The sequence below is a fragment of the Homo sapiens genome, chromosome 16 (genome assembly GCF_000001405.40).
Source record: "Homo sapiens chromosome 16, GRCh38.p14 Primary Assembly".
NCBI classification, from domain to species: domain Eukaryota; kingdom Metazoa; phylum Chordata; class Mammalia; order Primates; family Hominidae; genus Homo; species Homo sapiens.
In genome coordinates this window covers 22,473,782-22,495,638 of record NC_000016.10, presented here as the reverse complement: position 1 = coordinate 22,495,638, position 21,857 = coordinate 22,473,782, and the positions used below count along the sequence as shown (strand labels likewise).

General features: G+C 39.3%; 1 non-coding gene and 1 pseudogene across 2 annotated transcripts in view; both read right to left on the bottom strand.

The window, feature by feature from the left end:
* Positions 1-3,418: 3,418 nt before the first annotated feature.
* Positions 3,419-21,857, bottom strand: part of SMG1P1 (SMG1 pseudogene 1) — a 55,213-nt pseudogene continuing 36,774 nt past the window's right edge. The window contains exons 12-29 of the transcript NR_027154.1: positions 21,413-21,514; positions 20,421-20,690; positions 16,818-16,948; positions 16,508-16,663; positions 15,257-15,375; positions 14,698-14,785; positions 14,507-14,608; positions 13,747-13,887; positions 12,996-13,195; positions 12,412-12,608; positions 12,079-12,243; positions 10,823-10,977; positions 9,667-9,809; positions 9,317-9,518; positions 6,324-6,433; positions 5,197-5,344; positions 4,663-4,822; positions 3,419-3,932 (exon numbers count right to left, since the gene is read on the bottom strand). The product of NR_027154.1 is annotated as an SMG1 pseudogene 1 (transcript). The remainder of the gene's footprint in view (positions 3,933-4,662; positions 4,823-5,196; positions 5,345-6,323; positions 6,434-9,316; positions 9,519-9,666; positions 9,810-10,822; positions 10,978-12,078; positions 12,244-12,411; positions 12,609-12,995; positions 13,196-13,746; positions 13,888-14,506; positions 14,609-14,697; positions 14,786-15,256; positions 15,376-16,507; positions 16,664-16,817; positions 16,949-20,420; positions 20,691-21,412; positions 21,515-21,857) is intronic.
* On the bottom strand, positions 14,062-14,165 carry LOC124903802 (small nucleolar RNA U13). Its single transcript, XR_007065247.1, has one exon. It is a non-coding gene; the product is annotated as a small nucleolar RNA U13 (small nucleolar RNA).

The following is a 21,857-nucleotide window of genomic DNA, read 5'->3' as shown; positions in this document are numbered from 1 at the left end:
ACTAACTGGTCAGAGGAAGGGAGATGGGTGCATTCCCTCAGATAGACCGCCCCAGAGGTCTGCCTCTCTGACATGACATTTGAGCAGAGACCCAACAGGAAAAGGAAGAGGCTGCTCTATGGCCGGGTACGGTGGCTCACACCTGTAATCCCAGCACTTTGGGAGGCCCAGGCGGGCGGATCACGAGGTCAGGAGATCGAGACCATCCTGGCTAAGACGGTGAAACCGTCTCTACTAAAAATACAAAAAAATTAGCCGGGCGTGGTGGCGGATGCCTGTAGTCCCAGCTACTCGGAAGGCTGAGGCAGGAGAATGGCATGAACCTGGGAGACGGAGCTTGCAGTGAGCCGAGATCGCGCCACTGCACTTCAGCCTGGGCGACAGAGTGAGACTCCATCTCAAAGAACAAAAAAAAAAAGAACCAAGAGGTGTCCAGGCGAAGAGAACAGCAGATGCAAAGGCCCTGTGGCAGAAACAATCTTGGTATGCTGGAGGAATAGGAAGGCAGCCAGTGCAGCTGGAGCAGGATAGGTTAAGGGAGGATCAAGGTGATGAGGGCCTGGAAAGAGGGGCTGGGGTCGAATCACCAGATCCTGTTGGTTGCAATGGAAGAGCCTGGAGTTTATTCTCAGAGCAGTGAGAAGCCACTGGAAAGTTGTTTTTTTGTTTTTCTGTTTTTGAGACAGAGTCTAGCTCTGTCACCCAGGCAGACTGCAGTGGTGCAATCTTGGCTCACTGTAACCTCTGCCTCCCAGGTTCAAGCGATTCTCCTGCCTCAGGCTCCCCAGTAGCTGGGATTACAGGCACATGCCACCACACCCATCTAATTTTTCTTTTTCTTTTTTTTTTTTTTTTTGAGACAGAGTCTCTGTCACCCAGGCTGGAGTGCAGTGGCGCAATCTCAGCTCACTGCAACCTCCACCTCCCTGGTTCAAGCGATTCTCCTGCCTCAGCCTCCCGAGTAGCTGGGACTACAGGTGCATGCCACCATACCTGGGTTAATTTTTTGTGTTTTTAGTAGAGACAAGATTTCACCACGTTAGCCAGGATGGTCTCGATTTCCTGACCTCGTGATCTGCCCACCACGGCCTCCCAAAGTGCTGGGATTACAGGCGTGAGCCACCGTGCCTGGCCAGCCACCGGAAAGTTTTATGTAAGCAGGGGAGTGATCTGTTTTATCATTTAGAAGGATACACACCTCTTCTTCTTTTTTTAGAGACAGGGTCTAGTTCTGTCACCCAGGCTGGAGCCCAGTGGCACAATCATAGCTTACTGTAACCTCAAACTCCTGGGCTCAAGTGATCCTCCTGCCTCAGCATCCCAAAGTGCTGGATTACAGGCATGAGTCACCATGCCTGGTCACACTTCTCATTCTTTAAACCAGACCTCATTTGTCCATCTCCCCCATCCCCCGCCCCACCCCACGGACTGTCCTATAATGCCCATACAACAGGTCACTGTTTAGAAAGTGCTACAAAGTTACAAACACAGTCCCTTCTGAGCCTCCCACCAATGTTGGTGGGTACAAGGTCAAAAAAAAAAATCTCATCTATCTAAGGGGCATAGGAGACTTTTTAGTTAGAGGGCCCAATTATAGTCCTCCTGAAAAGATGCCAAAAGTCCCCTTCAACACTTAGCAAAGATTCAAGAAAGATGAATCTCACATTCTTTGTATGGGAAATGAGGAACTTGACATCTTCAATATAATGGATTCCACTAAAATAAGATGACGATCAATAGGAACCAACTAAAAAAATACTTGACTAGCTGTTATTGAAAGGCTGAAATTCAGCTGACATAAGCAGTATTAATATTGAGCTAGAAAATAATTCGCATTGAATTCAGCCCAACTTTTGTTTTCTGATTTGGGTCTCTTCTAAATTTTTTTTTTCTTCTGGACATTGAGAACAATCCAATTTGAAGGCCTCAATGCCCAAATCTACACTCTTGTTTTATTCTATATCCTTGGTTTCTTTTTTTTTTTTGAGATGGAGTCTCATTCTGTCGCCCAGGCTGGAGTGCAGTGGCGTGATCTTGGCTCAATGCAAGATCCGCCTCCCGGGTTCATGCCATTCTCCTGCTGCAGCCTCCCGAGTAATTGGGACTACAGATGCCCGCCCCCACGCCCGGCTAATTTTTTTGTATTTTTAGTAGAGACGGGGTTTCTCCGTGTTATCCAGGATGGTCTCGATCTCCTGACCTCGTGATCCACCTGCCTCAGCATCTCAAAGTGCTGGGATTACAGGCGTTAGCCACCGTGCCCGGCCCACACCTAGGTGATTTTTAAAGTTCTTCTAGTAGAGACAGGGTCTCACTATGTCGGGTCGCCGTGTTTGATGTCAGTTTTCCCTGCCAGAATCTACAATCTCCTTGATCACCATTATATCCCAACGAAGAGCTCAGTACCTGGTACAAAGCACATTTGATCAATACTTGCTGAATAAAGAAATAAAAATGAAGAGGCACTCCAGCCTGGGCAACAGAGTGAGATGGTCTCAAAAAAACAAAAACAAAAACAAAAAACGACTGGAAAGGAGATGAGGGTACTTGTGAAGCCATATTATATGACACGCTCTGTGCTAGGACTTTTATATACCTTGTCTCATCTCTTCATCTCATATAATCCTTACAAGGATCTCAAAAGTGGGGAAATCCCCATATAACTGAAGACGAAGGCAGTTCAGAAGTTCACTGATTTGCCCTAAGGTTCCTCAATTTGCAAACGTCAGGCCAATGATCCAACCCCAGGTATGTTTGGCAGTGAAGGACCAGTTGAGTCACAGCTGCAAGTAACCACCCTGCAGTGGTCCCTATCTTGGCCGTTAGCTTACATTGACATTTAACACTCAAATTTACTCAGTAACACCAGCTATCATGTTTTCCACTAAAACTCCACAGCATTCTGGCAACTTTTCTATTTTAGAGCAATAAAGTAAATTGTTAGCATCCCTTTGACATATAAATATTTCTACAAATAGTAATTCTCTAGCCATTCATTTGGAGTACTTAAAACTCAACATTCATAGCACATTTTATGTGACAAAGAACTTATGTTCAGAACACAAAAATAAGTCGTACGTCTTCATTAAAAACAGGTGAAGAATTTGAACAAACATTTGCAAACTAAAATACAAATGAAATACACTCAACATCATTAAACAAGAAAATAAAATTATGAGATAATCACTAATAATCACTACATATGCACCACAGTGATTAAAATTTTTTTAAGTTAAGCCACGTGACCCAACAAGGTGCATTCACTCAAGAGAAACGCAAATATATGTCCACTCAAAGACTTGCACATGAATGTTGAGAGCAGGTTTATACTGAATAGCGCAATGTGAAAAAACCCCAAAATCTAGCAAAGGATGAAGGGAGAAATAAACTGTGGTATATACATACAATAGAACACTACTCAATAATAAAAAGGATTATATTCCTGATACATGCAATATGGGTGAACCGTAAAAATATCATGCTGAGCAAGAGAAGCCAAACACAAGAGAACATGTTGTTATGATTTCACGTACATGAAACTTTAGTAAAGACAAGTCTAATCCATAGTGACAGAAAGCAAATCAGTAACTGCTGACAGGGGCAAATGAGGAGATGATCCCAAGGGAACCTTCTGGGGTAAGACGCTGTTCTCTATCTCGATCGTATTGGTGGTCACACAAGTGAAGACATGTTAGAACTCATCAAACCATACACTTAGAATGTGTAATATAAACCTCAATAAAGCAAAATTTAAAAAAAAAAACCACCTTTAATTTTCTCTTACAAAAAAAAAAAAAGGAAAACCACTTAACTTTAATTTTCTCCAACAACTGATTCTGGTACACAGTATACCTTAATGCCTGCATCCACGGCCTCACGTCATGCTGTTTACATGAACGTAAAGCTTCGCCGAAGAGTGGAATAAGACAGTCCTGCCAGAGAAAAACCAAAATTACTCAACGTAAAACAGGCTGTTGATATGTTTGCAGATATATAGCAAGTCTTAAGTCCAAGACTGCAATATAGTTTGGCTACTTCAGATTGATTGCAGTAGTTTTATCTATTACACTATACCCTTACATCATTTATCTTCTACTCACAAGAGGCAAGCACACAGTAAGAGAAAGCCTTTTGTTTTGAAGGGAAATCTTCTTCAGAATATTAAGTCTAATTTATCAATATACTTAATAAAGCACATTACAAAAAAAAAAGTCACAGCACATTTACTATAAAGCAGACTGCAGAAAAACATTACAACTAATGCTTTATTATGAAGTTCTCGAAGATCACCATTCATTCAGAAGCCCCCATCTCTGGTCGAACTTTACCCCATTTAGGATGAAGAGGAGAGATCTTTGTTTGCAGCAAATCTAAAATTTACGTGATCTGCCTAAAGGAACTGTCTTTACATACACCACCTCCCACCCCAAAAATAGAAGAAAAAACTGAGCAATTTGCCATCCTTGCGATTATCTCAGGTTCTTCCATCTGCCCCATGTACTTCCCAAATGAAAGACTGCCTGAAAACAGCATGTTAGATTTCTGGATTTACCAGCTTGCCCAACTACAAATCCTATTCCAAAAAACTCAAAAAATAAGGTCTTTGTTCTACAGTAATGACCATTAATAGTCATAAGAGTGTGCTTGTAAAAATATACAGACCTCTGTTGAAAGTCTGTTAGAAACTGTGGTCTCCAAAGCAGACGAGCAATACAGCTGCAAGGTACTTAGAACTGGCAAAGACTGTGAAACTGTTAAAGTAGAAAGTCTCAGAGGTCCAATAGCGATGCGGGATGTTTGCTTCAAGTACTTTACCACATTTCTGAAACAAAATATTTACTGTCAATTAATAAAAATTACAATTCATAACCACTCAAAGAATAAAGCAATTGATAAGATGCTATCAAATTGACATCCAAAGTTAGGGGGCAGTAAGAGGAGCAGCCTGCTCTATAATAAAATGGTATCAGCAAGTCAAGACATTTGCTTTTGGGGATTTTTACATTTTATTTCATTTCAACCTCAGTTTTTGTTGGCAAGCAGCATTCATATATCATATGACTTCTACAACTAAAATGAAGCTATTAGCACTAGTATTTAGTAATCTAGTAACTCTCCTTCCAGCCCTCTTCACCCCATGTATGTTTATCACATGATATACACAATGTACATTTACCTCCGTAAGAGTAAACTTACTCAGTTATAGACTGCCACTTCTGATCTTGTTCTATCGGGTTTAAAGCAGTTGCCAAACAAACAGAACTTCTTAACAATGGAACTTCAATGGATTTCTGAGGTTCCCTTGGATCTGGACTTCACATGTTACGAAGCAGTTTTTTCATGTCTACAGAAGTTAAATGAAATGTCATTAAGTTAATGTGCTTTTATTATAAATTTTGATTTATGTTTGGCATTATTAAAAACTAATCACCAATGAACAGCTCCTTTAATATTTCAGGCAGTTAAACACTATAAGCATTACTGAGAGCTATATAAAAATCATACTTCATACAAAATTACTGTACCTCAGACCCCTAAAAAGCAGTTGCCTTCAAAGGCTCAAAAATCAGTAAGTCGAGGTCAGGCGTGGTGGCTCACGCCTGTAATCCCGGCACTTTGGGAGGCCAAGGTGGGTGGATCACGAAGTCAGGAGTTCAAGACCAGCCTGGCCACGATGATGAAACCCCGTCTCTACTAAAAATACAAAAAATTAGCTGGGCACGGTGGCAGACACCTGTAATCCCAGCTACTCAGGAGGCTGAGGCAGGAGAATCGCTTGAACTCAGAGGGCGGCGGAGGTTGCAGTGAGCCGAAATCGCGCCACTGCACTCCAGCCTGGGCAACAGAGTGAGACTCTGTCTCAACAAAAAAGAAAATCGGTAAGTCAATCTACTATTTAAGGGGACAAATCTAGACCTGCATTAGCAAATCTTGCTCAATCCAGAATACTCATTAAACTTTTTAATAACATCTTATCAAGTGTTCCATTTGTGATAAAGAACTTAATTAACGAGCCACATCAAGATGAAAATCAAGAAAAATATTTAGCTGAAACACTACTTTGTCCTTTATCAAACAAAATGGCTAGATAAATCTCAAAGTATTAAGGTGGTCATTTTTTTTATTTGACTTAATTTTAAGTGCTTTTCATTTCCCAAATCAAACATAAATAGGGCAGCCCTAAATTTGTTGCTTCACATGGGATTCTGCCCCCACAAAAATGTAAAATAACTTCCAGATTTTCCAGTAAAATATACTAAGCCAAACATTTTGAGCAACTTGTCCACTAAAATAACTTTAAAACTATTTTCTCAAATACCTACCTATTTTTTCTTTTGATCCTCCAGCAAGTAGATTGATATTTTCTCCTGGTAACAATTCTAATTGCTCGGTACATTCGACAAATTTTCCAGACTCAAAGCTGCTTAATGATCTGTAATTAAAATATTGGTTAGCTTGTATTCCTATGCAGCCTGTGGAACCATTAAAAAAAACAAACAAACAAAAACAGAACAAATCCTAGGAAGACAGCAAAGTACACAGCACTTTTCTGACAAAATTCCTTCCACGAGGATGCCATTATTTTGGTTTTTATGTTGAAGATGTGACTACCACTTAATTAGTACTCAAATTGGAGTGGCAAACCAGAAAGTCACAGCTACAGACTTTCAGTGGAGCTGACTCGCCCCTGTGTCTCCTTCCTGTTTTCATGTGTTGCAGCCTGTTCTCTTCAGAGCCTGACACACTGACAGTAGACCTCTGCAGGACAACTTTGACACCCAGTTCTCTCCAAGCTGCCAGTGAGCTCCCTGTGCAGCCTCACTCCTCACCTACAGCATGAGCCCTTGCACAGCTCTCCCAGCATCACAATCTTGTATCTCAGTCCTGGCTTCTTTCACTGCTGGCATCCCTCCGTCTCTCCCTTTTTCACCTACTTTTCTTTTTTCAAAGAATTCTTCTCTTTCATCTGCTTATATGAAAAATAATGACACCTCTGAAATTCTTTCCTGTAGTTCTGCAGCATCAATGCCAGGAAGACAGGCCTCATCCTCCCAGCTTCTATGCTGCTCCTTTCAGATCCCTTACCCTGTCCCCATTTTCATGACACGGGCTCTCCAGCCAGGAAGAAGACACTGTTTCTCACTCTCTCTCTTTTCCATCTTTGCCTGTCCCTCTCGCTGTGTAACTTCCCTTATAACTCAGCCTGAGGCCAGTGCTAGAAAGGCACATCACCTGACTTATTCTGTGCCTGATTCTACCTAGATCAGTGCAACCACTGGCTTCTCAGGGGGACCCTTGAGTACTGGGCACTGATGAACTGCTGCCAACACAGTCATCATTTCTGCCATTAAAAGGTCCTAAGTCCTCTCCAGTGGCAGGTTCCCCAAGTCCCCACTATGCTCTATAATGCCCTATGCTTTCAGCTAATGACTCAGTCCTCAGAAAAAACAAACAAATAAACAAAAAAACACAGGCTTTAATTTCCTCTACCCCTACCCCCAATCCACCATACACTGCCGAAATTCTGTCTATACCAACTTTGACTGCTTTCCTTGAGGCAGAGAAAAGGTGAGGGCCAGTTAATCTATCAATGTTCTTTCTCCTGTTTCTTCAACCTCTGCTTTCTAGTGGCTCCTTCCCCTTGGCCAAAAGAACATAATCTCTCCAACATTTAAAATAAACATCTCATATTTCCCTCCAGCAACAGCTTCCTATCCTCGACTTCAAGAAAAACTCACTGACCAAATAACTTACCTCAAGCTTTTCATTTTCAAATGTCTCTACCACTCAATACTATTCAATCTAGCTTCTTCTGTCTCTCTACAAAACTCTTTTTCCTTATAATCCCTAGAGCATCTGACAAGGCTGACTACTCCCATCTGGATGTCCTATATCTAGGGCACTTCCCTTCTCAATGTCCCTGTATTTTTTTGAATGGCTTCCTCTTCTATCCTTTCACAAAAATGCTAAACTAGGATTCTGACCCAGGCCTTCCTTCCTCTTCACTCACTATTCTCCAGAGGCTTCTCTCTGGTTTGGTTGCTTACAAAGGCTCTAGAGTATAGAGACTGAAAAGGAAAGAGGGCCTTTTCTGTGTACTAATCATCTGCAAATCTCTCAAGCTTAGACTGTCTCCTTAGTTCAAAATCCAATTCTTAACAGCTTACCCAACAATCTCATCTGCACATTTCATTAGAAATCTTAAAACATGGCTTGTTCTCTGTGTGCTCCTACTCCAGTTAATAGCATTGTTTCTCTTCCCTCTACCATTGCCCCCATAAATTAATGGTCTCCATGCTTCCATACTTGCCCCGCACCTCCAGTCTCTTCACCACAGCAGAATGAACCAAGTCAGATCACAACACAACTCTGTTCAAATCCCACCTGAAATTTTCAGTCTTACTAGAATAACAGCCAAAGTTCTTTTCTCAGTTCCCAGCTACTTCTCTGCCCTTATATCCTACTGTTTAAGGCGCTCCTAAACACACAGGCCTCCCAGCTATTTCCAGAACACTCCAAGCCCATCATTCTCACATCAGGTCTAGGCCCAAAGGGCATCCTGATGGGCATGTCTTGACCTTGTGTCTTCCCTCCAAAGAAGGTCAGCTTTACCTAACTGCTTTCCTTATGGCACAGAAAAGGTGAGTGAGGTCCAATTAGTCCTTCTATCAATAATCTTTATCTAATCTTTGCTTTAAAAGGTTGGAATTTGTGTCTGTTTTATGTGCTGCCTGGGTCACAGCACATGCTCAGTGAAGCAATTACACATTAACCCATTTAGCAGTAGAAGGCAAGGGTATCAGACAAAGTCTAATGACCTTTATCTTCCCAGCCAAGTGTCTGCAACAGAGTGAGTGCTCAGTTTTGAATTACAGAATTAATAAAAGCACAGAGGAATGAGAAGAAAGTTTAATTTACAGATGTTCACAAACTCTGTCCTCATTAGAATAAATGTTTTTGATATATTCAGACCTCATTTCGAAACAAAGCCATCAAATGTGATTCTTTCTAAAGCAGTACAAATTTTTCTTTATATTCACTCTGGCATAATCTTCAAACTGTATTAAGGTTTTAGAACGACAGGTTCTGAAAATTAATACCAAATGACTATCTCAGCAGTGTTTTCCCATTATACAAATACCTTCCCTCATCTCTGATGTCAGTTTCCTGTTGTCATTTTCATAATGGCAGTAAGTTAGAAATATAACCATTTTGAGTATTACTGCATATGACCAATTTTAATATTTTTTTTGCCATAGGAAAAACATCATAGTTATTGGAAATTTGTTTTATAACTGGAAACAGAAAGCCTTACTTTATATAGTTGAAGTCAGCTTTCAGGTTGAGGGAAGTGCTACTGGTACTCTTTTTCAAGTCATGGATAGCGTTCTGCCATTCCTGCACAGCAGCCCAATCGGCAGTTGAGATGTAGCACTCACATGCTTTGTTTCCTAAATAATTTATAACCTCAGGGGAAGAGTCAGTCGGTTTGGACAGCACACTTTTTCTGGATTCACCTGAAAGTATTTTATAAAATAAGAAGAGAGAGATTCAGATCAATTAGAAATATTTCAAAGAGCACAGAAACCTAAAAACATGATAAGATCATCAGTACGAAATATATTACTATAACTTTTGCTTTATTTAAAAATGCTGAACGCTCACCATTCAGACAATGTTTCAGGCTGGCACTCTTACACCCAGCACTGGCTAAGGTGAGCACCGATTTGTCAAAGCTGGAGATGCAGCAATCAACACCTGTCATGGCACACAGGTGTTCCTGGTACTCCACAGAGGCCTTTTCAAACCTGAAAAGCAAATTGAAGCAGTCTTATTTCTTTATTTATCTAACTACTTACTTTTTTTTTTTGAGATGAAGTTTTGCTCTTCTTGCCCAGGCTGGAGTGCAATGGCACTGTCTCAGCTCAGTGCAACCTCTGCCTCCCGTGTACAAGCGATTCTCCTGCCTCAGCCTCCTGAGTAGCTGGGATTACAGGCACTCGCCACCATGCCCGGCTAATTTTCTTGTATTTTTAGTAGAGACGGGGTTTCACCATGTTGGCCAGGCTGGTCTTGAACTCCTGACCTCAGGTGATCCGCCTGCCTCGGCCTCCCAAAGTGCTGGGAATACAGATGTAAGCCACCGAACCCAGCCTACCTAACATGGCAAATTTTGTTTTTTTAAATATTGAGTGGGAAAAACAGATCATAAAACCATGTGCCTATGTACGCTGATGTTTTGGTGAAGAATGGAGAAAACGACATGAAAGAAAAAAGAATTACAAAGCGTATGGATATGGAAATATGGGACTACAAAAGGACACACAACAGAAGTTACTACAAAGATATGGAAGTATGAGCAGTTCTTTTATTTTCCTAAGTTCGCAAGATTTCATTAAACTAACATAAATGGACACAGAATATTATGGTACAAGCTCCTCTACCCGGAGGAAGCAATGAGTCTGAATGTAGAGTTCACAGGACTAACGAGCAAATACTCTGACAATAAAGGGTAATTTGTATCAGACTCTGAGGGGGAAGGAGCTCAACTAGGGATCAAGTTCAAAAGCATTTATAAAACAACTGACAGGTCTTGTTTTACAGTGTGATTTGCCACTAATTCTTAAATAAGAAAGGCACTCCAGTATTGCTGCTAACTGAAGAACAAACTGAAGATGCCTCCTGGTGAAGGGATTTATAGCAAGCTTCAATGCTGAAAGCAAACAAAGCTGTTTTAAGATTTGGCTACAATGTCAGTGAGTAATACAAAGAACTTAAACATAAAGTAATTCTATCACCCATTTCCTTCCCTCCAACCTACCTCCCTTCAGCCTGTTGAGCCACTGAGTTAATCCACAGAAGATGTTTTCCAACAATAGATGATGACCAGACAGCAATTCCCTGTATAGCTTCAGGACAATGAAGTTCACATAGTGCTTCTACCACCATCATAATGCTTACTTCCAATTCATTCCCCTGAAAACGCATTCAGAAAAGTTAGTCACCCAATACCATTAAAACATAAATCCCTATAAAATTTACAACTGATCACAGTCTGTGCCTGCTTAAAGCCAAATGTATTTAACAATTATTGTCACAATTTTCACATTATTTAGCTCAGAATTCTTTAAAATGTTACATATAAAATAGCCACAAAGGGTGACTAACAGAACCTTAGCAGCACATGGATGTTTGTACCCCCACCCCAAAGTTACCCAAAAACATTTAACCTGTGACCTCTGTAGGAATAACACATGGAGTAAAAAGAAAGCAAAAATGAAATATAAATAAACAGGAATTAAGGAATGATTAACTTCATGTGTTTGAATACTGCTTGACATTACCTGAATTGCTAAACATTTTGTTATTTTTGGATTCCAGTTATTTATTGTGAGCCCACTTTCAAGCCAGGAATTACTCAAGCATTTGTCATACGTTATAAAAACAATTTCTCCTGGCCAGGTGCAGTGGCTCATGCCTGTAATCCCAGCACTTTGGAAGGCCGAGGTGGGCGGATCACTTGTGGTCAGGAGTTCGAGACCAGCCTGGCCAACATGGTGAAACCCTGTCTCTACTAAAAATACAAAACTTAGCCGGGTATGGTGGTGGGTGCCTGTAATCCCAGGGACTGAGGCAAGAAGAGGCTTGAACCCGAGAGGCGGAGCTTACAGTGAGCCGAGATCGCACAACTGCACTCCAGCCTGGGCGACAGAGTGAAACTGTGTCTCAAAAAAATAAATAAATAAATAAAAATTTTCCCCCATAAACAAATTTTCAGAATTACCTTTAAAGTTCTAAACTTTGCACGGAAGAAATAGAGTTTTAACGTGTTCTAACATGAATATTGTTTTAACATGAACAAAAACATGAACATTATTTTGACTTCTAACACTGTTTTAACACGAATAAAATAGGTAACTCTGGCAGTTGTTGCTTTTACAAAATACAGGATCAAAACCTTTGAAAATGAATCCAAGCTTTAACTTATTTTATCCATAGATTAAATCATACCAAAGGAATTAAACCATGTTTTTCTTATTAACAGACTTAAAATGAATTTCAAACACACCACTTTACCTGAGATAGGCTGGTTGTTTTCATCTCTGTAAGCAAGTCAAAGCCATGTCTCACTGTCACTGCAGGCTGGCCTGCCAACAATCCTACCCTCATGATGGAGAGTCGAATCCGCGTTAGCCAGTCCTGACAAGTTTGGCGATTGGTATACAAAAAAGTTCTAATGACCTTTACGATAAGAGAAAGAAAAGCTCAGGACTGGTTCAATTTGTAGGTAAGGATGTCTCACCTATATATAAACCAAATACACAAGTCTATTGTGATTTCAGCTCTGCACATACTGCCAGCTGTGACCATTAAACTGCTATAAAACAACACTATCTCCCGGAAACCAACCTTGGGAGGTGAAGTTAAGGCATTAGCACATCCCTCGTATGCATTATACATTAATTTCTCCAGATTTTCCAGATACTGCAGAAGAAGAACAAGTCTAAGTTGGTTGTTACCATGGCCTTCATCACTGTCTGCAGTTGTCCACTGACTAACATCCTGATCAGGGTTTAATGTGTGACCTGCGAGACTTCGAATGATACCTGAAAGCAAAGACAACATTCTGAATTTTTAAAAATCTTAAAAGTTCCTAGAATAAGTGTGAGTTTTTTATGACCAATTCACATTTATCAAGTATCCTCTGTCTACCCATCATTTAAAAATAAAAAATCCCAACATGAAAGATCTTTCATTTTAGGGGAAAAAAATATATATTTTTTCCACACAACTCCCATAAGTTTTGGAAAAAAAACAAACATATTTCCAATGCAATTATTCAATGAAAGCTTATTCTAACAAACAAACCTGAAAATTATTGACTTTTTTCAAAAAAAATCATATACCCTCAAATCTTTAACAAAGATTTAAAAATCCATTATTTCTCAATAAGGCTTTGAAAGTATTCACATCATAAAGCTTGAGCGAGTTACCTTCAATTGTCTGGAAGGTGTCTTGAGCTCTGCCCAGTGGGGTTCTCAGCTTAGAAAGAACAGTGAATTGTGCAGCTTCCCATATGGCCCACTGCCAAAGGATAGCATCTGTCTTCAGGAGATTGCGTGGAATTGTTGACTGGTCACGCTTATCCAGTCTCTGGCAGCTATAGAACAGTCTTTCCAACCAATTGTCCTTCCTGGGAAAAGTAGTTTCATATTTAAAAGACAATGACAACTTCATTTTAATAATGAAAAAAAAATGCAAGGGGAATGGGAATAAGGAACTGTAATTTTCCCTACTCCAAAAAAAGGCAAAACCTATGAAATTGAGAAGCATTATGTCCCCCCCTCTCATTTTGAGGTCTTGTATAGTTAACAGGATGAGGTACAGTGTGGAAGGATGATTAGGGTAAACGGCTCATGCCAGTCAGGAATGAAACTCATTCAATGCAACTAAGCATCTCTAGAATATCTCCACCCCCACCCCACTCCCCAAAGTGTTAATGACATCACATCAGTTAACTGTTAACCACATTTCATTACTCAATTTCAAAGCCCATTTTTGTTTCTACAGATGCTATCTTCAAAGCAATTTTCCTATTGATGAAAACTGAAATAACCCATATGAGAAGAATGTTACTTGATACTCTGCCACCCCCAAACATATTTTCTCTTCAAAACTGCATGTAAAGTCAAGGGAATCTTAAAATTTTCTTTCCCAGATAAAATAGTCAAAGAAATGTCTTACCCTGTTCTATGAGAGTTCCCATACAAAATAAAACTAATAACATCAGAGAAATCTTGGGGGTGGAATGTATTACTTGGTGCTTTACTCATGTGACTTCTTAATGCTAAAGAAATTTCTTGAATTTCTGTGTGATTGTTATCGCTGTAGACAGAAAATAAAGTTGTTGTTATGCAAAATATTTTAGCTTAAAAGGTTAGCACATACTGTAAGTGGATTATTTACTTATTAACTCACTGGAGGTAAAAATATAGTAAAATTGAGACTTTCAAATGGATACAGAGATGTGATTACAACTTTAGATCCTTTTTTTATTCACCTCAGATGGGTCATGTGCCGACATCATAAGAGGATTTGAGGGAGGCATATCAAACATGTGAACATAAAAACCCAATCATTATGCTTATCTATTACAAAAGGATCAAGTTTAGGCTCTTAAAAGCTCCCAAATCAACTTGATCAAAAACAATAAAAGATTACTGTTTAGTTTTTCAAATATCTGAGCTACTAAGAAACATATTTTGGCACTACATGAGTTATTCTATACTAATTATTGTGAGCCTATAAAGCTCATTAAAAATTTTTAATTTTCTTGCAGACCTGCAAAATTTGGTTATTTGACATCACTTCAATCACTGACAAGCAGGGCCATAAAAGATGTGTCATTAATGCTCTAATAGGTGATCTGTCTTCTCCTAAAGTAGACAACCAGTAGAGGCTGTAAATATCACAGAATGTCTTTGCTTCAAAACAACTGTTATACCTTAGGAAAACACCTAAAGGAATTGATTTCAACAGTTTTCCAAATGCTTGTCGAATACAAGTTCCACGGTGCACTAGTTGGACACGGCAAACATCAACACATCTATGAAAGAACGAAATAGACAAAGCAGGTGTGTTAACAGTTCCAGGTTATTAGGGTTAATGTCAAAAGACACGATCTTAATTTCATACCTCTGTAAAAGATCATCTGGCAAGGAAGAGGATAGAGCATGTAGACTGCTGCATGCCTGCAGACAGATATTCACATCTTCAACGAGAGCTATTAAACATTAAAAGACAGTTACTTTCAGCTGGCCAAAAGAAATTATATCCCAGTTTGTCATAATTATCTGAATCCATTCATTCATTCAACAAAGAGTGAGTGCCTACTATAGACTAGGCACTGTTCTTGTCCAGAATCCTCATTGACTGTCACATTTGGAAAAATGACACATTCAACAAAACCCACGTAATGTAACTGATGGGTCATCACACAAAACTTTTTCTGAGAGAAAATGTAAAAGTATATGTAAACTATAAACATTCACGTTAGCTTAAAAATGTGACAATCACTTCAAAACATTTTTCTAATACTAAGAATGAAAAAAAATCAAGACTGTGTATCTGTCATTAAAATGAGGATTACACATCTTCAGGTCAGGAAAAGAGCTCGATTCATGACCATCTCCCATTACCAAAGACCCTTTTAAGGACTGATAAACAAAATAGAAAAAAAAAACCAGAGTCTTACTGTCGGCTAAAAGGCCTTTGCAAAATTTATGGAAAGACGGAAGACAGAATAAAGGTGCATATGTTTCGGACTTCTTCATTACAACAGCTACTTCCAAAGCCCAAGTCATTAACAGTTTCCTGAAACACAAAATATACAGTTGACTGTACATTAAAAAAAAAACAACAACAAAAACAAAAAAAAGTTAAAAGCCTAGTCTTCTTACATTGGTTTTCTCTTGGTTTTTCAAACATCTCAAACAATAAAAAATAAAAATAAAAAATGAAACTATAGAAATTACTGTCAAAATTGTTGTGTGCCTTTTAAGAAAACCTCCCAACGCAGCATGATAATAGCAAAGAGGCCGGGCGTGGTGGCTTACCTGAGGTCAGGAGTTCAAGACCAGCCTGGCCAACAACATGGTGAAACACCATCTCTACTAAAAATACAAAAATTATTGAGGAACTGCCAAACTGTTTTCCACATCAGCTGCACCATTTCACATTCCTATTGCTAACTTATAAAGATTTCAATTTCCCCATATCCTCAACAACACTTGTTATTTTCCATTTTTTAATAATAGTCATCATAGTAAGTGTGAAGTGATAGCTTGGAGTTTTAATTTGTATGTCTCCATTGACTAATGATGTTGACATCTTTTCAAGTGCTTATTGGCCATTTGTTTATCTTCTTTGGAGAAATGTTTATTCAAGCCTTTTGTCCATTGTAAGATGGACAAAAATGGTTGTCTTTTTGTTGTTTGTTTACAACCATTTTGTTTTAAAATGTTTTGTCTTTTTGTTGTTGAATTGTAGAAGTTTTTTATATACTTTGGGTATTAAACCTTAACATATATACAAAAAAAAAATACAAAAATTAGCCAGGTGTGGTGGCGGGCACCTGTAATCGCGGCTACTTGGGAGGCTGAGGCAGGAGAATTGCTTGAACCTGGGAGGCAGAGGTTACAGTGAGCAAAACTCCGTCTTAAAAAAAAAAAAAGCAAAGAATATTAAAAATCTATATATATTCTTCTATGAAACACTGGGCGTGGGGGATTGAGGTTTTTCATGTATTTCTTTTCAGAAAGAATAAGAAAGCCTAGATTAAATAATAAAACCAAATTATAAGGTGTTTGACAATAAAGAAGCTGCTCTACCTCACCTCTATAATCCACATTTTTTTAAATTTTTTGTAATCCACATTTCTTCTTCTCAAATTATAAAGGCAAATTAACAAAGTTAGGAATGGTTAATACTATATAATATCTGTTACCTCGTGTCCTGGTTATCTTTCTTAAGTAACATTCCCAGAAGATTTAATATAATTGAGAAATGTTTCTTTGTGGCCATAGTTACAGTGCCAATCACAGCTCCATCAAACAAAGAAGGAGAGGAAGAACTGAGGCTACTAAAGATAAAGTGATCATGCCTGAAAGACAAAGCATAGATTATCTTTTCATCTTTAATCAAAGAAAGCAAGCAAGTCCAAAGTTAAATCAACATACATCTTCAAAATCTATCCATTAAAAAAATAAAATGTTTTGTGGGGTTCTTTTCTTAAGAAAAATTTGTGAATACAGTACCTGGTACAATGAGGATACAATGTGTAGAGCACAGCATACTGAATGGCAGGGAAGTGAACAGCCAGGTCACTGTGCACAATCATCAGATTCTTACTCAGAAGTGCAAAGACAGTTGGAGATAGCGCCCACATCTGATCATGTACAAAACAAAGTAAGTTTATGGCTTCTCCAAAATAAGCACAAGCATACAGAGTTTATCCTTCAAAACAGGGGTATTTGGACATTTTTAAATTAAAATTACAGATTGGAAGGGATCTAGTACACTACACCTGGGACAAATACTTTTTTGTGAAGTCAGTAAAGCCTTTGCGTGCAATATAGCATCTCTATGCAATGCAGCAACTCCTCGTCTATCGCTACAGTAAGAAAACAGCCACAGGTCAGGTGTTGTGGCTCACACCTGTAATCCTAGCACTTTGGGAGGCTAAGGTGGGCAGATCACTTGAGCCCAGGAGTTTGAAACCAGCCTGGGCAACACAGCGGGACCCCATCTCTACTAAAATTACAAAAAGTAGCTGGGCATGGTGGCGCACACTTGTAATCCCAGCTACTCGGGAGGCTGAGGCAGGAGAATCGCTTGAACCTGGGAGGCAGAGGTTGCAGTGACCCGAGATCATACCAATGCACTCCAGCCTAGATGACAAAGTTAAGACTCTCTCTCTCAAAACAAAACACCAGCCACACACAAAACACAGGAATGAGAGTACCTGTGTTCCAAGAAAACTTTCTTGAGTCGGAGTCTCTCGCTCTGTCGCCCAGGCTGGAGTGCAATGGGGCGATCTCAGCTCACTGCAACCTCTACCTCCGGGGTTCAAGCAATTCTCCCTGCCTCAGTCTCCCAAGTAGCTGAGATTACAGGTGCCCATCACCATGCCCTGCTAACTTTTGTATTTTTTTAGTAGAGATAGGGTTTCACCATGTTGGCCAGGCTGGTCTTGAACTCCTGAGCTTGGGTGATCTGCCTGTCTCAGTCTCCCGAGGGATTACAGGCGTGAACCACTGCGCCCAGCCCAACAAGAACTTTCTTTACAAAAACAGGCACTAGTGTTGTGATGGTTGTACACTTCTGTGAATATAGTAAAAATCAGTGAATTATACACTTAAAATAACAGACAAAAAACAGGTGCTGGGCTGTATTTGGCCCACAGACCATAGTTTGCTGATCTCTGGTCTAAACAGAGCCCTTTGTATGTGCCTTTTGCGGAAGTAGACTGTATTTCCTCAATTTTCCATATACTGCAAATGGCAAGGTGCCCTGTTCAATAAGGAAACAGAGGCACACCCTGCCACCCTACACCTTTTCCATCCATCTTTTTCCTTTACACTGCCAAGACACTCCACTCCACCTGACTGCCCCATCCCCACCCACTTTCTCCTTATTTCTAGAGTACAGGACATAAACATCTTTGAATCTGTAAATAATGTGAATAATTTTCCTCAAAAATCAAGCTTTCATGTTTGAAGAAGAGTTTATTGTGACTTCAAACATAAACTGTAACTGGTAATAAGCGAAGCAGCTATGGAATTATACAAGGCAATCCAATCAAACAACACGGAGCACATTGAAGCGCAAACATCAAATTTTACCTTCTTCCTCCTAAAAACTTTATTCCCTAATTACATCCATTTCTTTCTTTGTTTCTTTCTTTTTTTTTTTTTTCTTTTGAGACAGAGTCTGGCTCTGTAGCCCAGGCTGGAGTGCGGTGGTGTGATCTCAGCTCACTGCAACCTCCACTTCCTGGGTTCAAGCAATTCTCCTACCTCACCCTCCAAAGTAGCTAGGATTACAGGTGTGCACCACCACCCCTGGCTAATTTTTCTATTTTTAGTAGAGGCGAGCTTTCACCATGTTGGCCAGGCTGGTCTCAAACTCCTGACCACAGGTGATCAGCCTGACTTGGCCTCCCAGAGTGCTGGGTTTACAGGTGTCAGCAACCGTGCCCAGCCTACACCTATTATTTTCTATTAAAAATGATGTTTTTCAACTCTGTGTGGTCCAATAGGAAGAAGAAATACACAAACCATAAACAATAAATACAAATCAAGAGCAGGGCCATGTCGAATTACTTAAAAAAAAAAAAACCACACGGGCTGGGCGCGGTGGCTCATGCCTGTAATTCCAGCACTTTGGGAGGCTGAGGCAGGTGGATCACCTGAGGTCAGGAGTTTGAGACCAGCCTGACCAACATGGTGAAACCAAGTCTCTACTAAAAATACAAAAATTAGCCCGTCGTAGTGGCAAGTGTCTGTAATCTTAGCTACTCGGGAGGCTGAGGCAGGAGAATTGCTGGAACCCGGGAGGCAGAGGTGGCAGTGAGCCGAGATTGCACCACTGCACTCCAGCCCAGTTGACAACAGCATGACTCTGTCTCCCCCAAAAAAAAAAAAAAAAAAAAAAAAAAAAGTCCCCCCACCACCACCAAAAGGAAGACTACAGGTTCAGTATCCCTTATTCAAAATGCTTGGGACCAGAAGTGTTTCAGACTTTGTATATGTTTGGATTTGAGAATACTTGCATATATATAAAATGAGATATGTGGGGGATGGGACCCAAGTCTAAAGACGAAATTCACTTATGTTTCATAGACACCTTCTATTCATAGCCTGAAGGTCATTTTATGCAATATTTTAAATAATTTTGGGCATACAACAGTTTGGACTCATCACATGAGGTCGGGTGTGGGATTTTCCACTTGGGGCATCATACTGGTGCTCAAAAAGTTTCAAATTTTGGAGCATTTTAGATTTAGGATTTTCAGATTAGGGATGCTCACCAGTAAGTGTTATGAAAATATTCCAAACTCCGGCTGGGCATGGTGGTGCCCACCTGTAATCCCAGCATTTTGGGAGGCCAAGGCAGGTGGATCACCTGAGGTCAGGAGTTCACAACCAGCCTGGCTAACATGGTGAAAACCCATCTCTACTAAATACAAAAAAATTAGCCAGGGGTGGTGGTGCATGCCTGTAATCCGAGCTACCTGGGAGGCTGAAACAGGAGAATCGCTTGTACCCGGGAGGCGGAGGTTGCAGCGAGCCAAGATCGCGCCATTGCACTCCAGCCTGGGCAACAAGAGTAAAAACACTATCTCCAAAAAAAAAAAAAAAGTATTCCAAAATCCAAAATCGAAAACACTTCCAGTCCCAAGTATTTCAGATAAGGAATATTCAACCTGTATGAATGTTCCTAGGGAAAAAGAGACAGCCAAAATATAAGACCATGTATAAGAACTAACTTCAGTACACAGAAAGAAAAAAGTACCAGGGGAAGAAGAAAGAGACCGCATTTTAAAACAACTATACAAATTTGAGCTGTAAGAAACACTGACATTTTCTGTAAGCATGCTAGAGCAAATAGGAGAAATTCATAAGACATTTTCTAGAAAATAAAACTAATATAAAAAAACTTATCAAGATTTGTCAAGGAAAAAGAAGAAAAGTTAAATATAATGGCAAGAAAACATTCCTACCAATTTTATTTATCCAGGCATGTCTTAAATATGGCTGTTTGTTACATACAGTGATTCTGCAGACATGTTGACATAACAGTGAAATACATAAATATGTAATGTGGATAAAACAAAGTCATTACAATTAAAGACTCACCCCTATTAGTGAGTTTTTGGCATTTCCAATTGTAGTCAGGGCACTGAGGTCAAATTTAACTACAAATTTTGCATTGTCTACATTGAACACATGATTCTTAAAAGCCTCATGTTTTATTTCAGAACAGGACTCAGGAAGCTGCAGACTGTGCAGGAGGTTGTTTAGGGCACAAGTCATTTCTCCCAATATTAACTTATAGGCAGTCTCCAAAACAGGAATATTCTTCAAGCTGAGCACTGCTTGATAAACAGCACGGGCTACAGCAACAACCTGAAAAACAAAAAATTCAAGGAAGTGATAAATGGAAAATAAATCTTCTAAAATTATATGGAAAATAAATCACTATCTGTATTAGTGCTGATGATACAAATAAATTTAAGATCGATCAATTCACTGTCTGTAGCATTTAATATTTTAATTTTTTAAAAACCAATCAGAAAACTGACACAGATCAGTATGCTATTTCAAATCTATTAAGTTTTATCACAAATAAAGAGTACTATAAATGAAAACTGTCAATAGGAAATTTCCAAAATGGCCGTTTTTGTTTTTTTTTTTTAATAATCAACATCAAAAGACATATGCAAACAGCAGTTTAAGACTGGGTTTCTTAAATCTACCAGGAAAGTCTGTGGTGGATTTGACTAGGGGGTGGTTGAAAAGCCAGTCATTTTTGTTTACCAAATATACAGTACTTCTTAATTTATAACTTTATAAATGTGTCAACTTGTTTTACCCTTATGAAAATTTAATAAATTTAATAACAGCAAAAGATGCATAGTCTGAAAAGAGTATCTGGCACACCATTCATGAAAGTATTCAGTATGATTATCAAGAAATATAAATTTAAAAGAACAAATACAATCACTATATTCTAAATCAAACATTTCACATTTCACTCAATTTCACTTATATAGCCTGGGGTAAGCAACATTAGGTCCAACTCTTCAGTGACTCAAGTTGTCAAAATTCATTATCAGTGTATTACTTACCTCTTTTTCTTTATGATAACGCAAGAATAGTAGTTTAGATGATGGTATAAACAGTTTTTCTACAAATGATGATGGCAGTTTCGTATTTATCTGTTCAACAATCTAAAAGAATAAAATTTTTAAAAAATGAGCTTCTCAAATTACAAAAAGACATGGAGAAACCTTCAAGGCACACTGGTAAGTGAAAGAAGCCAACTGAAAAGGCTACATACTATATGACTCCAACTACATGGCATTCTGGAAAAGGCAAAACGATGGAGACAGTAAAAAGATCAGGGGTTGCCATGGGCTTAAGATGGGGGGAGGGAGGAGTGGGGAGAGGGAACGAGGAAGGAGTGGGTAGAACATAAAAGATTTTTAGGGAAGTGAAACTATCCTGTATGATACTGGTAATAGGGGAAACATGTCATTACACATGTTAAAGTCCATAGAATACATAACACAA